The sequence below is a fragment of the Homo sapiens genome, chromosome 12 (genome assembly GCF_000001405.40).
Source record: "Homo sapiens chromosome 12, GRCh38.p14 Primary Assembly".
NCBI classification, from domain to species: Eukaryota; Metazoa; Chordata; class Mammalia; order Primates; family Hominidae; genus Homo; species Homo sapiens.
In genome coordinates this window covers 115,785,397-115,812,693 of record NC_000012.12, presented here as the reverse complement: position 1 = coordinate 115,812,693, position 27,297 = coordinate 115,785,397, and the positions used below count along the sequence as shown (strand labels likewise).

The window sequence follows — 27,297 nt, the reverse complement described above, 5'->3', positions numbered from 1 at the left end:
AAGTTAAGGTTTCTGGACTTTATCCTGAGTGTGAAGGGAAGCCCATCAAAAAGTAGAGCAGAGGCACTATCAGATATGCCTTTTAGGAAAGCCACATTGGTCACAATGTGGGAAATGGCTTGAAGTGGCACCACCAGGGAGGGTGCTATGGGAGTGGTCCATATGAGAGATGTTGGGGGCTTAGAAAAGATAGTGTAAGGGGATGGAGAAATGGATGGATTAGATATGATAAGCAGGTAGAATTAGTAGGAGTTGGTGGTTTGATATATGGTATGGATGGAGAGAAAGGGTCAAGAAACACTTGGGGTGATTTGATTGAATAATTGGTCTCAATTCTTGAGTTCCTTGAAGACATATTACACATCCACAACCCTGCCATGGCCTCATGATTGGGTGGGGGTACTTTCCTGCCCCTTGACTCTAATACTTGCCATGGGACTTGTTTTGCCCAAGGGAGTGCTAGTAGATGTGATGTGAGCAAGCCTTCAACATGAGCAGAGACTTGGAACGTGCTTGTGTAGTTGACCTTGACCTCTTGTACTCTGGTGATGCACCATGTGAAGAACAGGTCCAAGTAGCTGCTGCTATTTTTATAAAAGTCATGCAATCTTGAGCTGATGACATCATGGTAAGAGCTAGACCTGAGAATATATGTACTTATTAGACATTTTAGTACTTAAGTAATATAGACAGCAAGAAGCAATGTAGTGTAGTAGCAATATTTGTATCTGAGAAGGAATTGTAGACCTGGGCTCTAGAATGTGACATGTAGAACAAGCTACATGATCTAGGTGACTGCTGGTACAGGTAGGGTGAAAGACACTTGAAACAGATCTAAACCCAGTTTATAGCCTGGAGCCCAGAGTCAGAATCTAGAGCATTAAGTTCATCCTAGCTCAGCTGGTTATAGTCAACTTACAGATCTGTGAACACGATAATAAATGAATGTCCTTATAATGAATTTTGGGATTGTTTGTTATACAGCATTATTGTAGCATAGCTGACTGATACAGATGGCTTGGGTCATTTGGGCAATGGCTTTCATATGTTACATTGCCACCACTTGTGTGTTTGCTAAAACAGTCAACTCTGATTCCAATTTTGCAGTCATGTGCCTGCTGTGAAACTCATGGGGGCTTAACTCTGTCATTTCTTCTTCTGATAACCTCTGTACTCCATACTGGGTGGAACTTGTGAGTATGTCACTTGAAGCAAGACCTGTGGGACAATGAATCAGAAAATCAGGAAGTTCTTCTTCCCACTACCTCTCACCTCGCTATTCTGCTGCCTGTTAAGCCAAGTGATTTAGAATACCTCAGAGCTTGGAGTGATTCAAAATTTATTTTAGGGAAGGACACATGGATGGTGACATGTGGAAGAAGTTACTTATCCTAACCAGATGCCCAACACTGATGATGTCATTGAAATGGAGGAAGACGGAAGCCCACCAAATCAGTATGGAACATTTCCTCTAGGAAACAGTGTGCCCTGATATATTAAGTGTTTGACTGTGTTCGGCACGAACACAACTTAATTTTCTTTTTATGAAAGCAATAAGCATTTATAAAATTCCACCCCTTCCACCCTTCACCTAACTTATAAGCCCTTTAGCTATAACCTTCTTGTGACCCTCAGTTTATATAGACCCAAGTCATTTAAAACTCAATCCAAAGTGAAACACGTTTCAGTCATGGTAAAATTAATTCCCTCAGTCTTCATTGGTCTGAGACCTCGTGGGGGGATCTGTGGTTTAAGGAGGGGCTGGGGAAAAGGAAAAGAAGGAGAGTTTTGTGAATAGAAAGGAGGCTTCTAACAGGAAAGATATTTTTAAAGCTGCATTTGGGCACTGTTCCGTTTGAAAGGAATTTGTTATAACGGCAATATATAAATCTTTGAATGGTCTCATAAATCATAGCTCTATACCCAGCCAATCAGAAGCCATGAAAACCTGGCACTGTAGAGCACTCAGTTGTTACTAGAAAGATCCTGTGTGGCTCCTTGGAAGTGGAATCGGAAAATTTGGCTACACTTGGGGGTCTGTGGAATGTCTTGAATTACTTCTCAAACATTTTAGATTTGATAAAACCCAAGACACAGCTTTTCCAGCCCCATTTCCCTTCTCTCCCACCCCCAATAATTATTAAACCCATGTGTACATCAAGAGAAGCTTAATCCATGTGTTTCTGATTCATTTACACTTAACTCATCAAAATATTGTTTTTACAGGGCTGTTTGTTGTCCAAAAAGCCTTTTTCCCTAAGCTTGAAAGCTTAACTTCTCAGAAGCAGGAAGCTGCCTTTTGCCAAGAGTAAATGGGTGAGAAGTCCAAAGGTCTTGGTTTTGAAGTATGTGCAACGAATGTTCAAACAGGTTCTGAACAGAGCCAAATCTACTTTTCTATCTCCAAGAAATCTCGAGAGAGCCATGGGGCGGAAGTTTCAAGGAACAACGTCTCGTCCCAAACCGCATGAAATTGCATTCCAATCAGAAGCATGGCCAAACCCACCAGAACGCAAAACGCAGGGATGGAAGGACACTGACGACGATGACCTTGTGAAATGAGAGAATTGTCTTGAAAGGGAGCGTTGTTACGGAAGATGCTGATTTCGGCATTCCCTGTCTGAAGTGCTAACTAACCTCATTGGGTTTTTGCTCTGCACCAGGTACTGATATCTATACTTTTCCTGTGTATTCACTTACTTGATACCTGATGGAGGAGGTATTTTTCAGAGGAGAAAACTGAGTCATGGACAAAGTCAGTGACGTGCCCGAGATCGTTCATCTAAGATGTTGCAGAGCTGGGACTTGAACCTAGTTTGTCTGCCTCTGGGATCTGAGCTGGTAAACATCACATGGCACTTTGTGGCTCGTTTGTGACTGGTCCGTCCATTGGTGGAAAATGGTTAGAAGTCCTACTCTGTGCCCCTCTGTGTGCCAGTACTTGGAGATACTTCCTCCAGATACTTCCCCATGAAACTTAATCTGGTGGTGGAAGACAAACATAAAACAAATAATTGATTTGAGCTCTGAGAAGTGCCACAAAGGCAACGCACAGGTATAATGATGGGGGAGGGAGGGGTGGCACTTGGTCTGGGAAGTAGGGGAAAACTGTCTCTGTAAGGGACATTTTATCTCAGACCGGAAGACTGTTGTTATGGGTTCAATTCCATCCTCTTCTCCCCAGCATTCATTTGTCAAAGTCCTAGCCCCTAGACCTCAGAATGTGACCTTATTTGGAAATAGTGTTGTTGCTGATGTAATTAGTTAAGATGAGGTTAGAGTAGAGTAGGATGGGCCCCTGCTATAATATGACTGGTATCTTTATAAAAAGGGGAAATTTAGAGACAGACACACACACACAGGGAGAAGGACATGAGAACAGGAGGCAGAGATGAGGCTGGTATTTCCACAAGCCAAGGAGTGCCAAAAACTGCCAGCAAATCACCTTCAAAAGGAGCATGACATCTTGATCTTGGACTTTCACATTCCAGAACTGTGTTTTTATCCACTCCCATTGTGGTACCTTGTCATGGCAGCCCTAGCAAACGAATGCAGAGGGGAAGGTGCCAGTCAGGTGAGGAGGGAGTGGAGAGTAGGAGAGAGGGAAAAAGAAACAAAACCCAGGAAGAAGAGCTAGCATGTGCAAAATCCCCAACGGAGGAAGGAGCGTGACACATTTGGGAAGGTGGAACCAGGGAGAGGGGAGGGTGGAAGATGAAGCAGGTGGAACCAGATTCTGGCGTCTCTAATACACAACGTGGCATTTCTATGAAGGACGATGTGAAACCAGTGAAGGGTTTTAACCAAGGGGCAACCATAATTGGATCTGAATTTTAATATCATTGTTCTGTTGCTGTGTGGAAACTGAATTTTGGGGGTGGTAGGAAAGAATAAATGTAGAACAGTTTAGAACCTATTGTGTTTGTGCCCAGGAGTTTCAGCCGAATTCTTCAGATTGGTTATTCTTCCAAACAGGCCATTTTCCTCAAGCCATTTCCCTACTCAGTACTCAGACACATTCATTGTTTACAGTGTACCAGGCTCTGAAACTGTGCTATCCAATATGGTAGCCACTGGCCACGTGTGGCTCATTTAAATTAAAATTAAAGACCAGTTGCTCTGTCTCACTGAGACGTGCCTATGTGCTCCCTAGCCACATCATTCACTGAAAGTTCTGTTAGACAGCTCTGGTCTAGGGAAACACAGAGGAACAGGGCATCATCCCGTCCTTGTTTTTAGAGCAGTGAAAGAACTCGAGACAACTGGATTTCGTAGACCAGCAAGAACTTTTTTTGTTTTTAAGTATACTTTAAGTTTTAGGGTACATGTGCACAATGTGCAGGTTTGTTACATATGTATACATGTGCCATGTTGGTGTGCTGCACCCATTAACTCGTCATTTACATTAGGTACATCTCCTAATGCTACCCCTCCCCCGTCCCCCCACCCCACAACAGGCCCCGGTGTGTGATGTTCCCCTTCCTGTGTCCATGTGTTCTCATTGTTCAATTCCCACCTATGAGTGAGAACATGCGGTGTTTGGTTTTTTGTCCTAGACCAGCAAGAACTTTTATAAATACACTGAGAAAATGAAAAGGCAATTCACAGAGCTGGAAAAATATCTGCACTGCCTATGACTGGTACGGGGTTCTGTGAATAATATTTTAAGATCTCCCAAAATCAGAAAATGAGAGAACAGTTCAGTAGAAAAATGCAAGAGACTTGAACAGGGATTTTCCAAAGGGGAACATCTGAATGGTTAATAAATAGATGAAAAGGTACTCAATCCTATCAGGAGTCAGAGAAATGCCCATTAAAGCTGCAATAAGATGCTACCCACACACACCAGAATGGCTTAGATGGAAAAGACGAACAATATCAGACTAAGGACATGCACCAGAGTTTCTAGGATTAAAAGACTATCCATACTAAGTGTTGGCAAGGATGTGGAGTGACTCAAACTCTCACAAGTGTTGGTGAGAGTGTAATTGGCACAACCTCTTTGGAAAGCAGTTTGGTGTTCTCCACTAAAGACAGGGCGGCTTTATGATTTATTGTCCAAACAAGCTCATTTTCAGGAATGAAAGGGGGAAGTGTTCACTGATTCCATAGGCATTGATTGGGAGAGTCCTTGAACATACAATTAACCTAATCAAAATAGATATTCATGTGTGTGATCCAGCAAATCCACACCTAGGTGTGTATGTGCATGTATATATCCAACAGAAATGTGTGCACAAGTGACAAAATGTTCTCAGTGGCACTTTTGTAGCAGCTCCAAACTGGCAGCAACCAGAATGCCCTTCATGCAGTGCAATACCGTGCATCATCAAAAATGAATTGATCTGTGTGAAATACGACAACAGGGAGGAATGTTAGAAATATATTGGGGCCAGGTACAGCGGCTCATGCCTGTAATTCCAGCACTGTGGGAGGCCGAGGTGGGCAGATCGCTTGAGGCCAGGAGTTCGAGACTAGCCTGGGCAACATGGAAAAACCCTGTCTCTACAAAAAATACAAAAATTAGCCACGTGTGGTGGCATGCATCTGTGGGCCCAGCTACTTAGGAGTCTGAGGTGGGAGGATCACCTGAGCCTGGGAGGCAGAGGGTGCAATGAGCCAAAATCACATCACTGCACTCCAGCCTGGGCAATGGAGTGAGATCCTGTCGAAAGAAAGAACGAAAGAAAGAATGAACGAAGGAACGAAAGGAAGGAAGGAAGGAAGAAAGGAAGGAAGGAAGGAAAGGGGAAAGAAAGAAAAAAAAGAAAAGAAAAATGTTGGACAGAAACACCCATGTATGAAAGAGTATATCACTTACAATCCATTTGGAATAGAAAACTAAAGGCAGGACTTTGTGTTGGAAATCAGGGTGGTGTTTTCCTTTGGGGAGGGGGAAGGGGATGATGAGAAGTGCTAGCAGAGGGGCTTCTGAGGTGCTGGCAGTATTTTATTTTTTGACCTAAATTGTGGTTACACAGGTATTCATTTTGTGATAGTTCAGCTGTACAGCTATATTTTGTGCTCTTTTCTGTATATGTGCTATATTTCACAAGTAAAAATCAATGCAAAGCTATTATCTGGGCTTGTCATAGAGTTGTCAGGTTTTTATTTCACCTAATAAGTACATCTAATAGAATAATGGCTACCTTCCTTTAAATTCATCACTTCATAGGAGATAAAAAATTCAACATCAAAGCAGAAGGGATATAATTTTAAAATTAAGAACAGAGCTATAAAATAAATTTCTCATTTTGAAAAACTGACTAGACTGATGATGTAACTTTGATCATTTCACAGGGAGCCAGTGGAAACGTTTCCACAGACCCATTTTTGGAAACCTTTGGTTTAGTGGGGTCCCATCATCAGTTATACAAGGCTGCCAAAGTCTCTTCTTTGAAACTAAAGAGGTCTTTTAAAATAAGCTAGGGAAGTGCAGCGATTAAACAAGGTCTAGTAGGTTTCCTTGCTGCAGGACTTATCAGAGCCTTTACCATACAAAGATGCACTGTGACTCTCTAGGAGATGGATAAATAATGGGGCATTTCCCAACCTCATTTGCTAACAGAACCATGTTTCTGTTGAACCATTTCTAGGGACACGTGGCCAAAGGGACATACTTTGGGGACCCTAAGCCTATAGCAGGGGTCAGCAAGCCAAGGTCTATAGTCTGGATGCCTGTTTTTATAAATAAAGTTTTGTTGGATCGCAGTGATGACTGTTCATTTACATATTGTGTATTAACTGTGATGACAACAGTGAAGTCATTGTGACAGAGACCGTATGAGGCCCACAAAACCTAAAATATTTACTATTTGAACTTTTACAGACAAAATTTGTTGAACTCTGGCCAGCAGGACAAAGTTTCAACTCTTTTTCTTAGAGTTCAGAACTATCTAGAATCAGACCAACTCAGCCTCCTTTCTGATGTTATCTTGATGAGTTTCCTGTGCATGAAAGATCTGTTTTGGTCCCGTACATTCAATGAAACCCTTCTACTCTTTGTCTTTCCCCAGTCATCCTCACTGGCTGGACTAATGGACCCATTTCTCACTACTGTCCCTTTTCCATCCCACAAGTGCCTACTCCATGAAGCCTTCCCTGATTCTCCATCTCCATACACCTCAGGATTTTGGCTTCCCAGATCTCCCATTGCTTTTCCTCTTTAATAGCAGTTGCTGTAGATGGACCCTGTATTATTTAGGATTAGATTGTTTGTAACAAACCTCCACATTTTGTTTTCATAAATAAGCTAGATATTTATTTCTCTCCCTTTTAAAAGCTCAGAGGTAAACAGTCAAGATCAACTTGCTGCTTTGCCATGGATGGCCTCCACATCCAAAGTTACCTTGTGGCTCAAGATGGCTGCTCTGGCTCAAGCCATCATACTCTTATTTCAGTCAGAAGAAAAAGCAAAGCTGCTTTTGCTTTGACTGAAACTTGGAATGTAATTACATGATTACACCTGGCTGTAACGGAAGCTGAGAAACACAGCTTCCCCCAACCCACCGCCGTCCCCGGCCACATCCCCAGGCATCATGGTTCTAAGGAAGAAGGGGAGTCTAGGCTATGGAAGGAAAACCAACCATATATCTGTGCAGTGTGAGATTCAGTCTATTTTAGCTTATTATCCTAGCATATTACCCACAGTGGCAGACATATGTGATTTCTGCCTGCTTAGCATGATTTTTCCTTCTAGGAATATTACTCTAGTTTTGTTTTGGGAGCACTTTCGCCCCCAGCTGGGGATGTTGATCAAGGTGCTGTTCCTTCCTTAGTAAAGGGGTGAGAATGAGACCCAGGAAGATCAGCTGGACACTCCTGGAAATTGAAGTCTTGAGTAGAGTGATGCAAAGACTGAAAATGGGTTGGAGCTGATTCACCCAGACAATCATGCCCAGAAGAATGTCACTATTGGTTCCTCGTCCCTTGACACAATGCCTTGCTTCCTGTCTTTCCTGAGTCCCTTCTTCAGGGTTCATGAGCCTATTCATTCATCTTACACGAATGTCCTGCTTTGCTTATGTAATCCAGAGTTGGCCTGTGTTGCCCACAGCTGAGAAAATCCTCAGGATTACACGTGTATACTCAGGGCTTCAAAATGGCTGGATAGAATTAATCAATACAGATCACAGAACTTCCCTTTGCCAGCCTCAGAAAATGGTCCTGTTTGAATTGGATCAAGACACAGATGGTTCATACAACATGAGGCACCATTCAAAGAGGAAGAAACCACTGGGGTTTCAGTTGCCACAACCTTGAGTCTCCCAATATAGGAGGGTCTTATGTTTTACTTGCCTGTCAGATTCATAAAATTGAGATGGAGAATGTTAAAAAAAGATCCCAGTCCACTCCCCGGAGGCCCATGCCAAAATTATTTCCCTGCAATGGATTATTTATCATTGGTTGCTCATGGGTCTAGATCTTTGCAAGAATTGCTCTCTGCTAATGGTGGTATGTTTATATCTGGACCAACAAAGTCATGCCTGCCGCATCCCAACCACCACCAACACTATTTCTTCTTAGGCCCCAAAGGCTCTTAAGAAATTTAGGCAAAGGCTGGGCACGGTGGCCCACGCCTGTAATCCCAGCACTTTGGGAGGCCGAGGTGGGTGGATCATGAGGTCAGGAGTTCGAGACCATCCTGGCTAACACGGTGAAACCCCGTCTCTACTAAAAATACAAAAAATTAGCCAGGCGTGGTGGTACGCGCCTGTAGTCCCAGCTACTCAGGAGGCTGAGGCAGGAGAATTGCTTGAACCCAGGAATCGGAGGTTGCAGTGAGCCGAGATCGTGCCATTGCACTCCAGCCTGGGCAACAGAGTGAGACTCTGTCTCAAAAAAAAAAAAAAAAAAAAAGAAATGTAGGCAAATGACAACTCAAGAGCAGGCTGTGTTCCAAAAATTTATTGTAAGTTGTTTGACAGGAATGAATAGGCGTTTCACCACAGAAGCAACGTTATGTCTGTGCAAAGTGGTTCATAGAGAAGGATCCCATTTTTGTTGCGCCCCCAATACACACCACACTCGTTTATGTTCACACACACATATACACTCATATCTATACATGCCTATGTAAAGCTATGTGAAAAAGTGGAAGAAATCACACCAGATTGCTAATGTGGGTATCTTTGAATAATGGGATAGTGAGCAATTTCTTTCTCCATGCCTTATTTACATTAAAAAAAATTTCCTTTCAACGAACACAATTATTTGAATAATCCACAAATAATTACATATTTACAAAAAGAAAACATATTAAGGGTAGTGCATGCCTCAGGACAGCACCATTCTAATAATGTAATTGCAGTGGTTTTAGAATATTAACATTTATAAACCAACACAAACTTAATGCTGATTCTTGAAGCTTATTTAAAAAATGGTTTCTTGGTGTAGCAGTAGGCTGAAAGCTGTGTGCATACAGGCACTGTTTGCTTGCATATGGTACCCCCGGTGTTAAGCAAGTAATGAAGGGGAAGAAGGCAGGAAAGAAGAAACAGGGGGGCCATGTGGTATGGTAGAGAGAGCTTTAGAAGATAGAGTTAACATTTTAGGCTTTCCCCTACAGCTCTGTCTTTACCGAGGTGTGTGACCTTGGGCAAGTCATCTCTCACCTGAGTCTTGCTTTATCCATCTGCACAATGAGAAGATAGGGCTACATTTTTCTAGGTCAGCGATTGGCAAACTCTGGCCTGTGTGCCAAATCTGGCCCACTACTTGTTTTTGTCAATAAAGTTTTATTGAAACTCTTTATGTACATTCACTTATATATCATCTATGGCTGCTTTCACCCTGCAATGGCAGAGTTGAAGAGCTGCAATGGAAAGACCTGATGATTTGCAACATCTAAAATACTTACTATCTGGCCCTTTACAAAAAAAGTTGCTGACTCCTGGTCTAGACGACTCTTAGTGGAATCTGTATGTGAATCTATATTGCCTAGGGTGTGGTTTTCCACTCCTGTGACTTTGGAGGTGGGATATGCATTTTCCTCCCTGATTGATCCTCATCCCAATCCAATGATGGGGAGGAGGTGGTCAAGGGGGAAGCTTCTGGATTTTTGTGAGCCACCCTAGTGTATGGTTCATCTTTTTGCTCTTTCAGTCTGCTGCTGGAGGGTCAGCAAAATTGACTATGCTGAGAGGAGGAATTTGAGGGGTGGGGATGGAAAAATCTACCTTTACGATGATGCTCTGAAGTTAGAAAATTGCCCGAGTAATTGACTGTGCTGTCAGCACCTTTACCGATCTGTAAAATAGATCCTCGGGCCCTTCCTGTGCTGTCTCTTATGCCAGCTTATGAGCACTTCTGAACAGTGTCCTTCTTCGATTCTTGGAAGCATTTTTCCTTCCTGTGCAAAATAATCATAATCATTTTCCTGAAGACGTTCAGGCAATGGAACCCATCCTGCATGTGTGTGCTTTTCTCTCTGATGTAGTTGTCCTGCTCTTTCTGGACTCCTGAATTATAGATTATACTCTGCTTTGTGCCTTTTAATTTGGCCCATGGATACTGAAACCATTTCAACTGACCCTGCACTTTTCCCACTTACAGCTTTGCAGGCAAGACAGCCCTAATTTTCTGGACAAATGACCCTTTGCTGCACCAGCTGGGTCTAATCAAATCCTAGGGCTTCCTACTTACCAAAGATAACACTGAGTCACGAGTATTCACAGTCTGATTCCCCAGGGAAGACAGACCCCTGGCCCGGAAGGCCTGGAGACCCTGAAGCAGTGTGTAACCAATGCTCATAATTGTCCGCTCTCTGAAACATTACAAGAGCTTATTCCAAAGCACTCTCCCTTGCTCCCTTTAAAGCACACAAGCCATGACTCAGTGAGAGCTGGTTGGTCTTTGTTTATCTCAGGGGAATCTGTCCCTATTTGACTGTGATTTCTGGGACAAACCAAGCAAAAAATGGAGACCAAACACTTCTGAGTTTCCTTCCTTCCAGGCCCTCCTGCATTCACAGCTCTTTTCAGATCCAAATCTTCCTCCTGAATCTTGTCTCTGCAGCCCACATGGTCATTGTATTTCTCGGAGGCTATTAAAAAAGGTTGGTATGAATCGAAGATGAGGGAGAGGATGACATTGTCATATTTTTGACATGAGTCCACATTTAATGTCTTTCTTCCAAGGATGAAATAAAATAATGGATATAAAGTGTTTTCTAGAGCAACAAGCCTCAACCTATCATGTTTGCATGAATCCACTAAAACTCAGATTCTGGGCTGGGTGCGGTGATTCACTCCTGTAATCCCAGCACTTTGGGAGGCCGAGGTGGGTGGATCACGAGGTCGAGAGATTGAGACCATCCTGGCCGACATGGTGAAACCCCTTTCTACTAAAAATACAAAAATTAGCTGAGTGTGGTGGTGCGCGCCTGTAGTCCCAGCTACTCTGGAGGCTGAGACAGGAGTATCACTTGAACCTGGGAGGTGGAGGTTGCAGTGAGCCAAGATCGTGCCACTGCACTCCAGCCTGGCAACAGAGCAAGACTCCATCTCAAATTAAACAAAACAAAACAAAACAAAAAAAGAAAAAATTCAGGTTCTGTAGGTCTGGGTAGGGCCAGGAATTCTGCATTTCTCTCTCTCTCTCTCTCTCTCTCTCTCTGTCTCTCTCTCTCTCTCTCTCTCTCTCTGTTTGAAGAGAGGGTCTCACTCTGCCATCCAGGCTGGAGTTCAGTGGTGCAATCATTGCTCACTGCAGCCTCCATCTCCCAGGCTCAAGTGATCTTGCCACCTCAGCTTCTCAAGTAGCTGGGACTACAGGCATGAGTCACTGTGCCTGGCTAATTTTTAAAATTTTTGGAGAGACGGGGGTCTCATTATGTTGCCTAGGCTGGTCTTGAACTTCTGAGCTCAAATGATCCTCTCACCTCGGCCTCTCAAAATACTGGGATTACTGGCATAAGCCACTGCACCTGGCCTGGATTCTGCATTTTTAGTAAGGTTCCAGGTGATGCTGATGCTGCTGGTCTGAAGACCACACTTTGGATAACAAGATTGGGTAACACAAGAAAGTTTGAATACATAGTATCCAACAGCATTAAATGTTGGCTTCCTTTTCTAAGTATACTAGACCCTCAATAGCCCTTGATACTGACAAGAGGTAGGGCAGGGATCCAAACCCATATCTGTGGATCTAGCCCACTATAGGGCTCTAGGAATTCTGGTATACCTGTGTCAGATCCAGAGGATAAGGTGAGCGTGGGATATGATTAAACATTCTGTTTAAGCAACAAATAGTTATTGAGCATATGCTCCACCCTTGAAACTCAGTGATAATTCTAAGTTTTGACCAAAGTGGCTTTTATATGATCTCATTTCTGTCTCAGGAGTTTGCACTTGTATCCTCTGCCTGAATTGCTTTCTCTTGGTCTTCCTGTTGGCCAGGCACAGACCCATGAGAGAAGGACTTGGTCAATGCTCTTTTCTGGGTATATGGTTGGCATTCAGTAAATGTTTGTTGGATGAATGGACGACCCAGAAGAAAGATATGGTAAGCAACGTAACAGGGGCAATATTTAAACCACTTCCAATAATGCCTTTCGATTTCTCGTTTCTGGCAGAATTTATAGGCTATCTACTAATATACTGATGGTGAATTATTCTTACTGAGCGAATAAAAGCTGTTCTCATGAAGACCTTTGTGGTACTGCAGCATTAGCAGAGTCCCAGCTAATACATGTAATTAAAAGCCACAAAATCAGATACACGGGGTGTAGTAGTCTGCTAGAGCTGCCACGCCAAAATACCACAAAGCAACAGAAATTTATTTTCTCACAGTTCTGGAGGACAGAAGTCCAAGATTAAGGTGCCAGCAGGGCTGCTTTCCGGTGAGGCCTTATTTCTCAGCTTTCACATGGCATCTTCTTGCTGCTGTGTCCTCACATAGCCTTTCCTTTGTGCGTAGAGAGAGGTGGATCTCCAGTGTCATCTCCTCCTCCCCCTCCCCTCCCCCTCCTCCTCTTCCTCCTCCTCCTCCTCTTCCTCCTTCTTCTTTCTCCCCCCCCAACCCCCCCTTCTTCTTCTTTTTTTGAGACAGATCTTATGTTTTCCCTCAGACTGGAGTGCAGTGCTATAATCTTGACTCACTTCAGCCTCGACCTCATGGGTTCAAGTGATCCTCCTGCCTCAGCCCCCCAAATAGCTGGGACTACAGGTATGCACCACCACGCCCAGATAATTTCTTTTGTGTGTGTGTGTGTATATATATATGTGTAGAGATGGGGTTTGGCCCTGTTGCCCAGGCTAGTCTTGAACTCCTGAGCTCAAGTGATCCACCTGCCTTGACCTCCCAAAGTGCTGGGATTACAGGCGTGAGCCACCACGCCTGGCCATTTGTCTTCCTCTTCTTATAAGGACAGCAGTCCTATCAGATCAGGACCCCACCTTTACACTCCCGTTTAACCTTAATCACCCCCTTAAAGGCTCTATCTCGAAACAGTCACATTGGGGGTTTAGGGCTTCAACATATGAATTTAGAGGTGACACAGTTAAGTCCATAACCTTTTAAGAGATTCTGACCTAGGCTTAGTCGAGGTACGTGGCCTTGCAAATATATAGGGAACCCAGGAAAGCTTCCTGATGAGAGGGACTTTAGGGTGCTCAGAAGGTAGTCTGTGGTTTCTATTCTAGCTCCTGCCATCAAGGTGACCCAGCTCTTTACTAAGCATGTGCTTCTTTCTGTCTCCCTTATTTTTAAAATAGATTAAAAAAATTTTTTTTCAATAGAGATGGAGTCTCACTGTGTGGACCGGGCTGGTCTCCAACTCCTGGCCTCAAGTGACCTTCCCATCTCTGCCTCCCAAACTGTTGAGATTACAGGCATGAGCTACCATGCCCAGCCTCTGTCTCACTTCTAAGTGCATTTTTCCCGATCTTCAGCAGCACTTTATGTTTTCCCTTTTACAAGTCTTATCGCCTGTTACCTTAATTGCTTTTTAAACTCTAAGCTCTAGGAGGGTGCACAGGACTTTCTGTTTTGTTCTTTGCCACAATTCCAGAGCTTTGTAGAGGTTCAGTAATCTTTGCAGGTTTAAAATGACCATGCAACCAAGCACTACAATTGATGTACGCGTTGGGAAAAAGTCCAAGGCTTAGCATGCTGCCTTGATTTCTTTGATTTGTGAAACCAGCAGATGTTCATTGAGTGTTTGCTCTGTGCCAGGCACTTGCTAGGCCCTGGGTATACAGTGGTGAATGAGAAACACAAGGTACCTTCCCTCATGAAGTTGCATTCTATGGGGAGGGGGGACAGGTGCAACACCAGTAAGCAAAACAAATTACAAGATAATTTTAGATAATGACAAGTGCTCTGAAGAAAGTGAAACAGAGTCATGTAGAATAAACAGAGTAGGCATAAAGGATTTGTTGAAGGAAGGAAAGGAAGGAAGGGAAGGAGGGAAGAAAGGAATTGCTATACAAGGCTTCCTAATTGGTGTTTTCAGTTTCAAGCAATGCTAGTATGTTGCAGAATAATCAGATGTACCCATTCATTTTCCTGCTGCTTTCAAAAATTCTAACTTTTTTATTGAAATATAGGTGATCAGAAAAGTGAAAATGTTCATTGTAAAGCTTGATAAAATTTCACAAACTGAATGTATCCAGATCGAGTTGCTGAACACTAGCGACACCTCAGAACCCCACCTCACGCTCCCTTCTGGACATTAGTAACACCATTCTGACTTCTAACTTGTGCTGGATTTGAAACCATCAGGGCCAATAATATTATAGAGTGGAATGCTAAAATAACATAACTTCTGGTTTGCAGAGCACACTTTTGCAAATACTGGGTCCCAAACCGTGACATTTCACCAAAATACATGAGTTGGCTCTGTCCCAACAAACTTGTTAAAGTGGTCCTGTCCCTTCTCCTAACACTGGCTTCACAAGCTCTGCTCTCTCTTTTTGGTCTTTAACATCAGCTTTCTTTCTTTCTTTTTTTTTTTTTTTAGACAAAGTCTTACTCTGTTGCCCAGAGCAGTGGTGCAATCTCGGCTCACTGCAACGTCCACCTCCTGGGTTCAAGCGATTCTTGTGCCTCAGCCTCTCAAGTAGCTGGGACTACAGGTGAGTGCCACCACGCCCAGGTAATTTTTTGTATTTTTAGTAGAGACAGGGTTTCTCCATATTGGCCAGGCCGGTTTCAAATTCTTGGCCTCAAGTGATCCACCTGCCTTGTCCTCCCAAAGTGCTGGGATTAGAGGTGTGAGCCACCATGCCTGGCCAACATCAGCTTCTGACAGATGAGGAATTTCAAAAATATTCTCAAATGCCAAACGTCTCAGCACTAGATGCAAACCTCTCCATGTGCAGGGTTATGCAAGCATCAGAGAATGGATGGAGATCTTTTACATTTAGTTGATTTAATTAAACGCCTTTACTACCCCCGCACTGTTGCATTTGTCTTGTTTTTAATTTCCAATCTTGAGTCAACTCTGCTCTGCCAAGTTTTGGTAGAGATAGATGCAGAAGGGGTTTTAAATAAAAATTTCCATCTGTCCAGAATCTAGGAAAAATTCTACACAATGTTATATCAAAGGGCACATGAGTTGTGAACTTTCTGGGAGGGTTAGAAAAGCATGGAGAAATGCATTTCCTAGAATCTACCTTCCATCCCAGGCAGGGCTCAGGCCCTGTCCTCAATTCTTAGCCAGAAGCCCTGGGGTTAATCTTCCTAAATGACACTTAACAGGTGGGGCCTCTTGAAATCTCTGTGGCAAGACCTCTGGGTCTATAAATCTGCAATGGGACCAATGCTCTGAATTCTTAATCAAGCCTGTTTCCTTTATTAATCTCCAAGACCGGCAGTGATTTATAAGCAGGGCTTCCATTTGGTCCAGAAAATGAAATTCATTTCACAAACCCGTAAGTGTGGTCCAAATCAATTGACCACGATACTTTCCTATTTCATGCTCTGTGTCACACTGATCTTTTAACTTGATTGTTCTATTACCAAGTATTCACTTAAAAGCCTTTGCTGGGTTTCTGTGCCTCACAAAAATAATATTAGCCCCAGCACAATGATCATTACTGATACCAAGATTGGGCTTTTAGATGACTGCAACTGGAAAGGGATAGTGGTGAGGTGAGAAAAGGAGGAGGTAATGAGACTTGAATCATCTGGTGTCAAGGTTCCTAAATGATGGAGAACTGAGTGATCATGGGAAACCCATTCACAGGCAGGTCTCTGGGCTCCACCCAAACTCTGCCAAATCAGTGTCTCTGGGAATGGGGAAATGATATCTTGAGAATTCTACAGTTGAAACTAAAAATTCTAGGAATACAGGGAGCTTCTCCCTCAGTCTAGAAATACCAGGTTGTTTATTTCTTCAGCAAATGTTTATTGAGCACCTGCTATGTGCCAGGCACTGTGATAGGCATTTGGGATACATCAGGGAATCCGTAGATGGGAATCCGTAGACAGGAATCCCTAGCTTTCTGGACATGGTAACCATTTAGTTGATTGCAGAGAATATAAAAAATAATGATTAACCCTCATCGAATATGCACTAGAATTTCTCATTTAATCCTCACCACAGACATAAGAAGTGGTGCATACTACCACTTTCAGAGATGGGAAAGTTGATACTCAAAAGACTGAATTACCCAATGTCACAGCTGATAAAAGGTGGATCAGAGTTCCCAACCCAGGTCTGCTGAACCAGCCTGCTACAGCCTGCTAGCAATTATACGTCTACACTTGTTTCAGAGGCTAAAGTGAGGATGACATATAATCAAACAGGTCGCTGGTTCTTCTGTGCAAGCCACAAGTAGTTATTGAGCATCTACTATGAGTAGAATCTTTTCTCAAAGGTGGAGACTCAAGGATGAATGAGGTACCATGTCCAGCAGATGAGAGAGACACCTCAAAACACAATACAATGTATGCGACGGAAGTGGCAAGGGAGTTATAGACAGGATGCTCAGGGTGCTTGTGGCTGGGACTCCCAGCTAGATTTGGGGGTAAACTGAGGATTTGTGGAGGAGGTGGAGGAGGGTAAGTTGGACACGTGGGAGCTTGCCAGGCTGGGGGAACAGCATGTACAATAAGGACATGCATGTACAGGAGGCCCCTGGTTCTCAGCCTGGCTGGAGGTGAATGGGGGCTGGGGAAGATGATGCTGGAGAGGCAGGAAGAGCCTAAGCTTTGTTGGAGCTCTAAGGAATCTGGACCTCCCAAGGGAATTAGGAAGACATGGGATACTTCAACAGTATCAGACTTAAATTTCAGAATGAGCCTTCCCCGTGTAATGGATTTGGAAAATGAGTTTAGGTGAAGCAAGAGGCTCACTGAGCCAGTTCAGAGGGAATGGGTGAAGGCATTCTTCCAGGATGCCTCGACAACCTCATTTGCAGTCTGTCTGTGTGCTGGAAAAGTCTGGGAAATGTCTCTTTGGAGAAACGGTGTTATGGTACCACTCAGCTGGGGCAATAGCCATCTGAGAAGAATTAGCTACACTTTGTGGTAGCTTCCAGGAATCAAGAGTCAAGATGAGATAGGTGGCTGGTTTGATGATGTCAATACTGGTAGCCTGGAGCCTTGTCAGTTGGTGTCAATAATATTCAGATAATTTGGATAAGTATACAACACATTACCCAGGTAGTGGCCCACTCGGTTTGAGCAAAAGGCCATGAGTGCGGAACACACACTATTCATGGGGCAGATAGGTTGGATTCAGGGTTATTTCTGCTGATATCAGGAGGAAGTGAAGAACTGGGCCGCTTAAGCAGAAGTGTTAGCCCTGCTAATGGGTGCCACCTGGTGACCTTTTGGTGATAATGGTGTCAGACACATGATAAAGACTTGTGATGGCAGGAAACACCCTATGTTTACGGAGTAATTTTCTCAGCATGGGTTCAAAGTGCAAATGGCTTATGTTCATATTGCCATCCTCAGAACAGCTCAGGAAGGTGAGGGTACGCCTGTGTTAGCCTGGATGTTATTGCTGGAGTGCTGGACAGCACATCATATTGTTTGCATGTTCACCATCACCTTCGTTGCCATTCTTCCACTTCTTGGAGTCTTCTCTGGGCCAGGCCACACTAAGCATGTCCCATGTTCATGTCCTGACAGTGGTCACAAGGCCCTATAGGAACTGTATCCTTATTTGTTCCCTGTCCACCTCCTTGGTCACTCTTCTCCAGCCACAGTGGCTTCCTCGCTGCAGTTGACTGTACCAGACAACATGTTCCTACCTCAGGACCTTTGCACTGGCTGTTCTCTCTGACGGGAACGCTCTTCCCCACCTCCTCACTTCCTCACTCTCTTCGTGTCTCTGCTCAGATTCATCTTCTTGGTGAAACTCACCCTAATCAATTCAACATGGCAACTTTCCTCTCCTCCATCCTTATTCCTTATTTCTACCATTTTTTTCTTTTCTTTTCTTTTTTTTTTTTTGAGACAGAGTCTCACTCTGTCACCCAGGTTGGAGTGCAATGGCGTGATCTCGGCTCACTGCAACCTCTGCCTCCCGGGTTCAAGTGATTCTCCTACCTCAGCCTCTCAAGTAGCTGGGATTACAGGCGCATGCCACCATGTCTGGCTAATTTTTGTATTTTTAGTAGAGACAGGGTATCACCATGCTGGCCAGGCTGGTCTCAAACTCCTGACCTCGTGATCCACCTGCCTTGGCCTCCCTCCCAAAGTGCTGGGATTATAGGCATGAGCCACCATGCCCGGCCTTTCCACCATTTCTATTGCCCTCCAATAGCACCTAACTACTTTTTTTTTTTTTTTTTTTTTTTTTTTGAGACAGAGCCTCGCTCTGTCGCCCAGGCTGGAGTGCAGTGGTGGAATCTCGGCTCACTGCAAGCTCTGCCTCCTGGGTTCACGCCATTCTCCTGCCTCAGCCTCCTGAGTAGCTGGGACTACAGGCGCCTGCCACCAGGCCCAGCTGATTTTTTGTATTTTTAGTAGAGACGGGATTTCACCGTGTTAGCCAGGATGGTCTCCATCTCCTGACCTCGTGATCCACCCGCCTCGGCCTCCCAAAGTGCTGGGATTACAGGTGTGAGCCACTGCGTCCGGCCAGCACTTAACTTTTAACATTCAAAATAACTTACTATTTCTTAATGTCTACTGTCTGTTTCCCCTGCTAGGAGATAAGCTCCAGAGATCCTGGCAGAGAGTAGGTGCTCAGTTAATGTTGAACATATTGTTAATCTAATCCTTAGAACGAGTCTATATGGTAGAGGCTCTTCAACCTCATTTTATGAATGAGAAAACAGATTCAGAGACGTTAAGTCAGTAGCCCCATGTCACACAGAAGAGCTGCCAATCTCAACACAGCTTTGATCACAAAGAAGCTCTTACCCACCACTCTATGTTGCTCTGTAAATGTGGGTTGAATTGAGCAAGGGACTTAGAGAAGCCACTCAGCTTTTGTAGAGTTACTCCTTAAGATGAAGAAAGAAACCCATTTTCCTGGAACCCAACCCCATACACTTCCTATGTGGCCAAATCTCTTCTCATTAGCTGCAGTCTTTGGTAGGCCATTTAAGCCCTGGTTAGGCCAGCTGAGATGGGAACCCAAAATGATTAATAGATTTCAGGACATCAGGAAATGGGCTCAAACTTTACAGGGAGATTAACCTGTCTTGATAAGGTCTATTGGAATCACTGAAATTATTCCTGCCTCTGTATTCACTCCTACTGGACTCTAGAATTTCCCGTGTGGGAATCCAGTACACTTTATTGCACTAATCTATTTATGAGCCTTAAAGGGACCCTGTTGTGTCCCTGCCCTGAATCTCCCGCTTCTTCATCTGGAAGCAGCTCTTTGATTTTTCACTGGAAGACCACCTCTTTCTACTCTCAAGTCAATGGCTTGGGGTTGGGGGCGGACCTCCAGTTAGATGCAGAGCTGGGCATGAGGCTGGGTCACATCAGTCTGTGTAATCCATCCCTGAGCCCCAGTGATGGATTGAGGGATGAGTGTGAAACACAAATGGGTCCAGTGAGAATCAGCTCTGGGCTTCAGCTGAAGCTTTTAGGAAAGAGTTATTCTCTATCAGGTTTCTAAGCCGGCTGAATGGGAGTCTGGAGCTCCTAGCAGCCTTTTTGGGAAGCACAAATGGAGAGCCTGTCTGGGTATAAAATCAACAAAGAGTGGAGAGAAGACCTGGGAGCTGAAAAGAAACAGATTGTTGATAACATCATTTGAGCCCCTGGATCAAGCCATGACTGAAACCTGGGCCTTTAAACTCGAAAGCTACCCAAGCCAATGCATTTTCTCTTTTGCTCAAGCTGTTTCAATTTGGTTCCTTTCACTCAAAAGACTTCTTAATATAAATGGGCTTGGGTTTTAAGTTGGAGAAATAAACAAATGGGATTGTTTGTATCCCAACACAGTCACTTGAGGAAAATGCACCAAAAGGGGGTAGGATGGCTTCAAATTCTTCTTAATGAAGATGACTGATGGTACTCCAAATCACCTTATAGACACCTCTATAAAGCTGCTCCCTTATTCTTTAAATGGGAACTTGAGCTGGAAGATTCATGATTTTCTAGATTTGGGGTCCCTCTCAGCAAAACTGAGAATGCAAAAAGCGTGTTACCTGGGTCCTCTTTCCTCCTCTTTGAGTACTTTCCTTTTCCTTTCCTTCCATTGAACCTGCTGTGCTCCATCTGTGCAGAGAATTGAATGTCTTTGTGCTCTCTAACTTGTAGCACCCTTCAGCCCTCCTTTCCTGTGGATCAACTTATGTCTTTGAAACTTACCATTCTATACCCTGTTCCCAGAGTGTTAGATAGAGTGGACAGACTAATTTGTACTAAAGTGTAAATTGCTAACAGTACAATGTTTTAAGTGGAATATCTAAATAGGGAAGCACTTTAATCCAAACAATTGGAGTTGCAGGAGCTTTTAGAAGAAATTGGGGGAGATTTTTAAAGGCAATTGTTTTTTGGGGGAGTAGAGAGATTCCCATTATGATTGTCCATCCATTTCACCTGAATGTGAGTTAGCCCTCCAGTGTTGAAGAAGGGTGGGGCATTTTCCAAGCCTTGTATGCTGTCAAAAGTCAGGGGATTAAAGGAGCAATGATGGTTCAGCCTAGGCCTCTCCATCTCTTCTGCATTCCCTTCCTAGAGGGCTGGGTGTCTACATGCTGCTGACCAGGAGCCGAGAATAGCCTGGCACTGGTCCCAGAGGTCATCCTCCCCCACCAAGGACTCAGAGGACAGAACAGTCCATGCCCCATAGCAGTAGGTTTTCCACCCTAGCACCTGATAAGCTGGAGCTGAGTTTAACAGAAGCACATCATGGGACATGTTTTCAGGAATAAGACGCCCCTATCGGTCCCAAGTGGAGGGCGATGGAGACACTGGCTGAGTTAATGCATTGCTGGCCCAGACCCAGGCTCTGGCGGCCCATTCCTCTCAAATTCCTCTGTAATCAGCTAAATTAGCCCATTGATAGAACAGCTCATCAAGGGGCAGCTCAGAGGAGGGATTGATGGACGGTCACCTTTTCAAGGAACTCCGGACTGGGGGATAAATGGCCCATTTACTCATGAGGTTGCAATTGAGTGTTTTCCTTATATCAATAATTTTTCCTTTCTTGCCCTCACTCTTCCTGGTCCTAGGCAGAAAGAGGCCCGTGCCACATCAGGTCTGATTCCTTCCCGAGCTTGAGTGCAAAGCTTGTGCTTAGCTTAACCTGCTCATTGCTGATGGAGCAGAGTCATCCTCTTAGAAGTGAAGTCTTCCCTTTATAAATACTGTAGCTGTCCAGAAATACTACAGTGTCCAGTGGACACTGTAGTGTCCACTCCCACAATTATTTTATTTACACCAGTGAAGTCCTATTTGGGAATAACTTCAATATCAAAGCTAGTTCTCTGGAAGCATCTAGCATTCATCTATTAGAATCAACAGGACTTAAGACTAATTTCAGGAACTGTGACTCAGACCTGCCAGTGTTTGATGTCATGTAAACCAGACTTCCAAGGCTCACTTTATGAACAACTCTGTAAGTAGTTAGGTTGCGGAGATCACAAACACCTAGAGGAAGAACAGGGGGAAAATCATAACTGGCCCAGCTGGACCCATGTTATGAGTATTGGTACTTGCAGTCTGGGATAACATTTTCAATGACAGTACAATGCATGGGTCTAAAATGGTTGTGTTTCCAAATAACTTGGGCAGAAGCAACCATGACATGCACTGAAATGCTGTATAAGAGAGTACAAAAAGTGGCTTTCTTAAGAAAAAGATGCAGGCGAAGAATTGGAATCAAATTGTTCCCTGAAAAACAGTATGGGGATTTCTCAAAAAACTGGAAATAGAACTACCATATGACTCATCAATCCCACTACTGGTCTATTCAAAGAACAAAGAAATTAGTATATCAAAGGGATACCTGCAGTCGCATGTTTATTGCAGCACTATTCACGGTAGCAAAGATATGGAATCAACCTACATACCCATCAATGGATGAATGGATAAAGAAAATGTGATAGAAGCCTCCAGATAACTGAATGGATAAAGAAAATATATACACAATGGACTACTATTCAGCCACTAAAAAGAATGAAATCATGTCATTTGCAGAACATGGATGGAATTGGAGGTCATTATGTTAAGTGAAATAGGCCAGGTACAGAAAGACAAATACTGCATGTTCTCATTCATATGCGGGAGCTAAAAAACTTGATCTCATGGATGTAGAGAATAGAATGATTCATATCAGAGATTGGAAAGGTTGTGGGGGATAGTGGAGATGAAGAGACGTCTGCTATGGGTACAAATATACGGCTAGATAGAAGGACTAAGTTCTAATGTTCGACAGTAGACTAGGATGACTATACTTAGCAACAATAATATGTGTATTTCAAAGTAGCTAGAAGAGAGGAGTTGAAGTGATACCAGCACATAAAAATAATAAACACACAGTGTGATGGATACCCCAATTACCCTGACTTTATTGTTACACATTCTTTGCATGCAACAAACACTCACTTGTACCTCATAAATATGTAAATTATCGTATATCAATAAAAGGGAAAAAAGGGATCTTGAGATGTAGAATGGGAGAAAGTAGATTTTCTACATCAACATTATTTTACACTGCATGTAATGAAAAAATACATCAAATTGATAAATTTCACATGATAAGTATTTGACTCTTTCATCTATTCCCTAGAAGTTTGTAAATTCATGTTGGTCAAAAATTCTTTTGCGTGGGCTCTCCTTATATGTAGGGACGTCTTATACTTGGCATAGTCTTATATCCAGGTGTATATAAAATACTGTGTATTTCTGGAGGCATAGGGATGATTTGGGGAAAGACTTGGAAACTTTTTCCTGCAGTTTTAGATCTAAACACTTTTGTGCTATTTTGAATGTACTTGGAAAGGCAAGCAAGAAAAATAAAAGCATGTTTATTTAGGTTAGCATTTGTCTAAGCAAATTCTGTTCTGGCGTATGCTTCCCAAGAAAAGGGTTCTATGACCAAATAAGTTTGGGCAATGCTAGGCTCAATAGCACCTTCTTGGGAAGTCAAATGTGCTTAAACTCCTAGAACTTAAGTTCCCTAGAATTACTAGACCTTAGAACCCCTTTCTTTACAGAACACTTACTAGTATCATACAAAACAAAACGGTATCCCAGAAACAATTTGGGAAATACTGAACTGGGACTATCTTGAAAATTTCAAGGAGAGGGGGAGTCACAAATATAACCAAATTTGTACAATTATTTAGATAGCAGGGAATATTTATGTCTTTAATTTCCCATGCTAAGAGTCCATCCCCTCTTCCCTATGACAGAATACACAGGTTGTTACTGTGCCCCCCAGGGAAGATTAGATTTTGTGACCAGGTAGACTTGGAATCAAGCTCTGGCTTTTTTGTGTGTTGTGCGACCTTGAGCAAGTATCACTAACTCTCTGAGCCTCAGTTGCCTCCTTTGTAAAAAGGGCACCAGTCACTACTTATCTTAAAGAGTTTCTATAAAATAGGAAATGAGATGACACAGAAGAAGTATCTAGCACAGTGCTGGACAGTTGTAAGTGCTCAGGAAGTTGTTGCTGTTGTTCACCATTACATCTCTTCTCACGGCCCCTGAATGGTTTTACGTTTGCTGACTTGTCCCAGCCTCATCTGTTTAGAAGGCTTGAATTGAGCTGAAATAGGGGCAGGTATGGATTAATTTAGGGTGGACTTTATTGCCAATGCAATATATCTTGGGAATATGCAAATACCCTCATCAATTCCCACCGAAGAGATTCAGAAAGACTCACTCAGCTATCCTCCATCCCACCCAGGATACCTGCCCCAGGAGTGTGGCGATGTCCAGCTAGCTCACAGGAAATGAGACTGTTGGACGTTTCAGAATTCATATGTTTCCTTTTGAAAGGACAGTCAGCTTCCTTTATTAAAAAAGTCCACCTGATTGTATTTTAATGACAATTAAAATTCTACAATGTGCACATTTTACAGAATTTTACAATGTGCATGTTTACAGAATTTTACAATGTGATGTTTAATGACAGCATCAAACATGCACACTGTAGAAATTTAAATATGGTGTAAATGTATGATGTGAACAGTGAGTCTTCTTTCACCAGTTTCCAGGAATGAACAGTGGGAGAGATGGGCAGATGTTCTTACGCACCCTTTTTATGCACCAAGAAGAAGAGGAACGAGTGTGTTTTGAGTGCTTAATACGTGCCAAGCACATGAAAATGCTTTCCATGCACGATCTCCTTTTGTCTTCAGGCTATATTATGCACGGGATGGGAACTAGGTGTCCCCTTATTTTACAGATGAGGCTACTGGGGCTTAGAGGGGTTAAGAAACCTGAGGTCACTCACCTAGTTAGTAAGGGAGCTGGGATGTGAACGCTAGTCTGTTCAACCACTTTCCAAATCCTTAGTTATTATAACACACACACACACACACACACACACACCACATACAATTTTCTATCACCAAATAGCATCATATTATTTATTTCTAATGACCTTTGACTTGCCTTTTTTTCCTTAAGGATCTATCATGGACACCCTTCCTTGAAAGTACCTATAGCTCTAGTTCATTGTTTTTAGCAGCTGCATGGATTCCATTACGGGGATGAACATAATTTATTTTACCGGGTCCCTACTGATGGGCATTTAGGTAGCTCTGTCCATTTGCGACTCTTTCTTGTCCCTCCTGGGCCCCAGAAGGGCTGAGCTTCCTCCAGCCCTCTGGCTTGTAAGAGGAGAATCAGTGTAGCGACTCCATCAATCTAAGCTACGCAGTCTTTAAAAATACATAGCCCAAAAAATAAGGCTCCATTAAACAAACTTATAAAATATGAATGGGTTGCTTACCCTGCCCCTGCTCAAGAGCATACAGGTCAGCTCCCTGGAACTCGGGAAAGTGGAGCATCTGAGATCTTCCTCCATATATTAACGAGAGCGGTGTCACCCTGTCAGGTATGGGGTCTTGAATCCAATTAAATTGTGAACCTTAAATGGAAAGGACTCTAGTACTCTGATGAACCACGAAGAACAGCTAAATGTTGCTGAGTATGTTTGTGTGTGCTCATGCATGCTTGTATCAAATCTCACACTCAACCAAATTTGCTCAGATAAACTCTTAGTAAGCCAATGAATTCACCAGGCTTCTAGAGTGGGGCAGGATAGCTTTGTGGCTAAGATCATGGACATGACGCCAGACCAACTAGTTTGGTGGCCCGGCCCTGCTATTTGTCAGCTTTGTGTAATGTTGGGCAAGTTACATAACCTGTCTCTACCTCAGTTTCCTCATCTGGAAAATGGAGATAGTCCCTGCCTTGTGGGGTGATGGTGAGGATTAAATGAGTTCAAATAGATAGAACAGTAAGTGCCTGGCACATGGTATCATATGTGGGCAGTCTATGATTATTATTAGATATGTACATGCCATTTTAAATATGTTTATTGCGACAATATTCACAGTAGCAAAGACTTGGAACCAACCCAAATGTCCATCAATGATAGACTAGATTAAGAAAATGTGGCACATATACACCTTGGAATAGTATGCAGCCATAAAAAAGGATGAGTTCATGTCCTTTGTAGGGAGATGGATAAAGCTGGAAACCATCATTCTCAGCAAACTGTCGCAAGGACAAAAAAAACCAAACACCACATGTTCTCAGTCATAGGTGGGAAATGAACAATGAGAACACTTGGACACAGGAAGGGGAACATCACACACCGGGGGCTGTCGTGGGGTTGGGGGAGCGGGGAGGGATGACATTAGGAGATATACCTAACGTAAATGATGAGTTAATGGGTGCAGCACACCAACATGGCACATGTATACATATGTAACAAACCTGCACGTTGTGCACATGTACCCTAGAACTTAAAGTATAATAATAAAAAATAAAAGAAAAAGAAAAAAAAGACAAAATAACAACACAAAAGAGGTAACTAGGAAAACAAAGTTAAAAGACATCATCCACTAGTGATTTACTTCATGACATTAATAAAGAATAGAAAGAAACATAAAAAAAAATAAATATTTTTGAATATCACAGTAAATATATGGTCACTGATCAAGTAGTGTTGATTAGAAAGAACACAAACTACAACCTTACTCCCTCAAATCACCTGTAATCCCCCCAGTCCAGAGAAAGGCCGCTCTGAACATTTTGGTCTATAACATTCCAAACATTATCCTCTGTGGGAATACACTTTCACGCACACATGCACATACACATTGGATGTATGATTTAATTACACAAATCTTATATCTTAAGTCCTCTTTTATAACTTGGCTTTTTTTAATCTAACAAATTATCAACACACCTAGAGTGTTTGTTTGCCGGAGCTGCCATTATAAGGTACTACAGACTAGATGGCTTAAACAACAGGAATGATGTTTCTCCCAGTTCTGGAGGTTGGAAGTCCAGGATCAAACTGCGGCAGGGTTGATTTCTTCTAAGGCCTCTCTCCTTGGCCTGCAGGTGGCCACCTTCGCCCTGTGTGTTCCCAAGGCCTTTCCTCTGTACCTGTCTATGTCCAAATTTTCTCTTCTTGTAAGGACACCAGTTGCATTGGATTAGGGCCCACCCTAATGATCTCACTCTAACTTAATTATCTTTCTAAAGACCTTGTTTTCTTTTTCTTTTTCTTATCTTTTGAGATGGAGTCTCACTCTCGCCCAGGCTGGAGTTCAGTGGCGTGATCTTGGCTCACTGCAACCTCCACCTCCCGAGTTCAAGGGATTCTCCTGACTCAGCCTCCCAAGTAGCTGGGACTACAGGAGTGCACCACCATGCCCGGCTAATTTTTGTATTTTTAGTAGAGAC

The 27,297-nt window shown here is 43.1% G+C and overlaps 1 long non-coding RNA gene across 1 annotated transcript in view, besides 2 other annotated features; it reads left to right on the top strand.

Annotated features, from left to right (window-relative positions):
• Window positions 1-6,711, top strand: part of LINC02463 (long intergenic non-protein coding RNA 2463) — an 80,288-nt gene extending 73,577 nt beyond the window's left edge. Inside the window, exons 4-5 of the long non-coding RNA XR_001749337.2 lie at window positions 1,349-1,455; window positions 2,227-6,711. This is a non-coding gene — a long non-coding RNA (long intergenic non-protein coding RNA 2463). The remainder of the gene's footprint in view (window positions 1-1,348; window positions 1,456-2,226) is intronic.
• Window positions 1,800-2,999: an enhancer, noted in NCBI's record as "BRD4-independent group 4 enhancer chr12:116247500-116248699 (GRCh37/hg19 assembly coordinates)". NCBI's record gives its function as "activates an origin of replication core promoter dependent on BRD2, P300/CBP, MED14 and CDK7 cofactors, and independent of BRD4, by STARR-seq in HCT116 cells {active_cell/tissue: HCT116}" and the evidence as "EXISTENCE:reporter gene assay evidence [ECO:0000049][PMID:35650434]".
• Window positions 13,219-13,433: a silencer, noted in NCBI's record as "fragment chr12:116237066-116237280 (GRCh37/hg19 assembly coordinates)". NCBI's record gives its function as "represses an EF-1alpha promoter that drives an FKBP-Casp9 reporter gene in an ReSE screen in K562 erythroleukemia cells {active_cell/tissue: K562}" and the evidence as "EXISTENCE:reporter gene assay evidence [ECO:0000049][PMID:32094911]".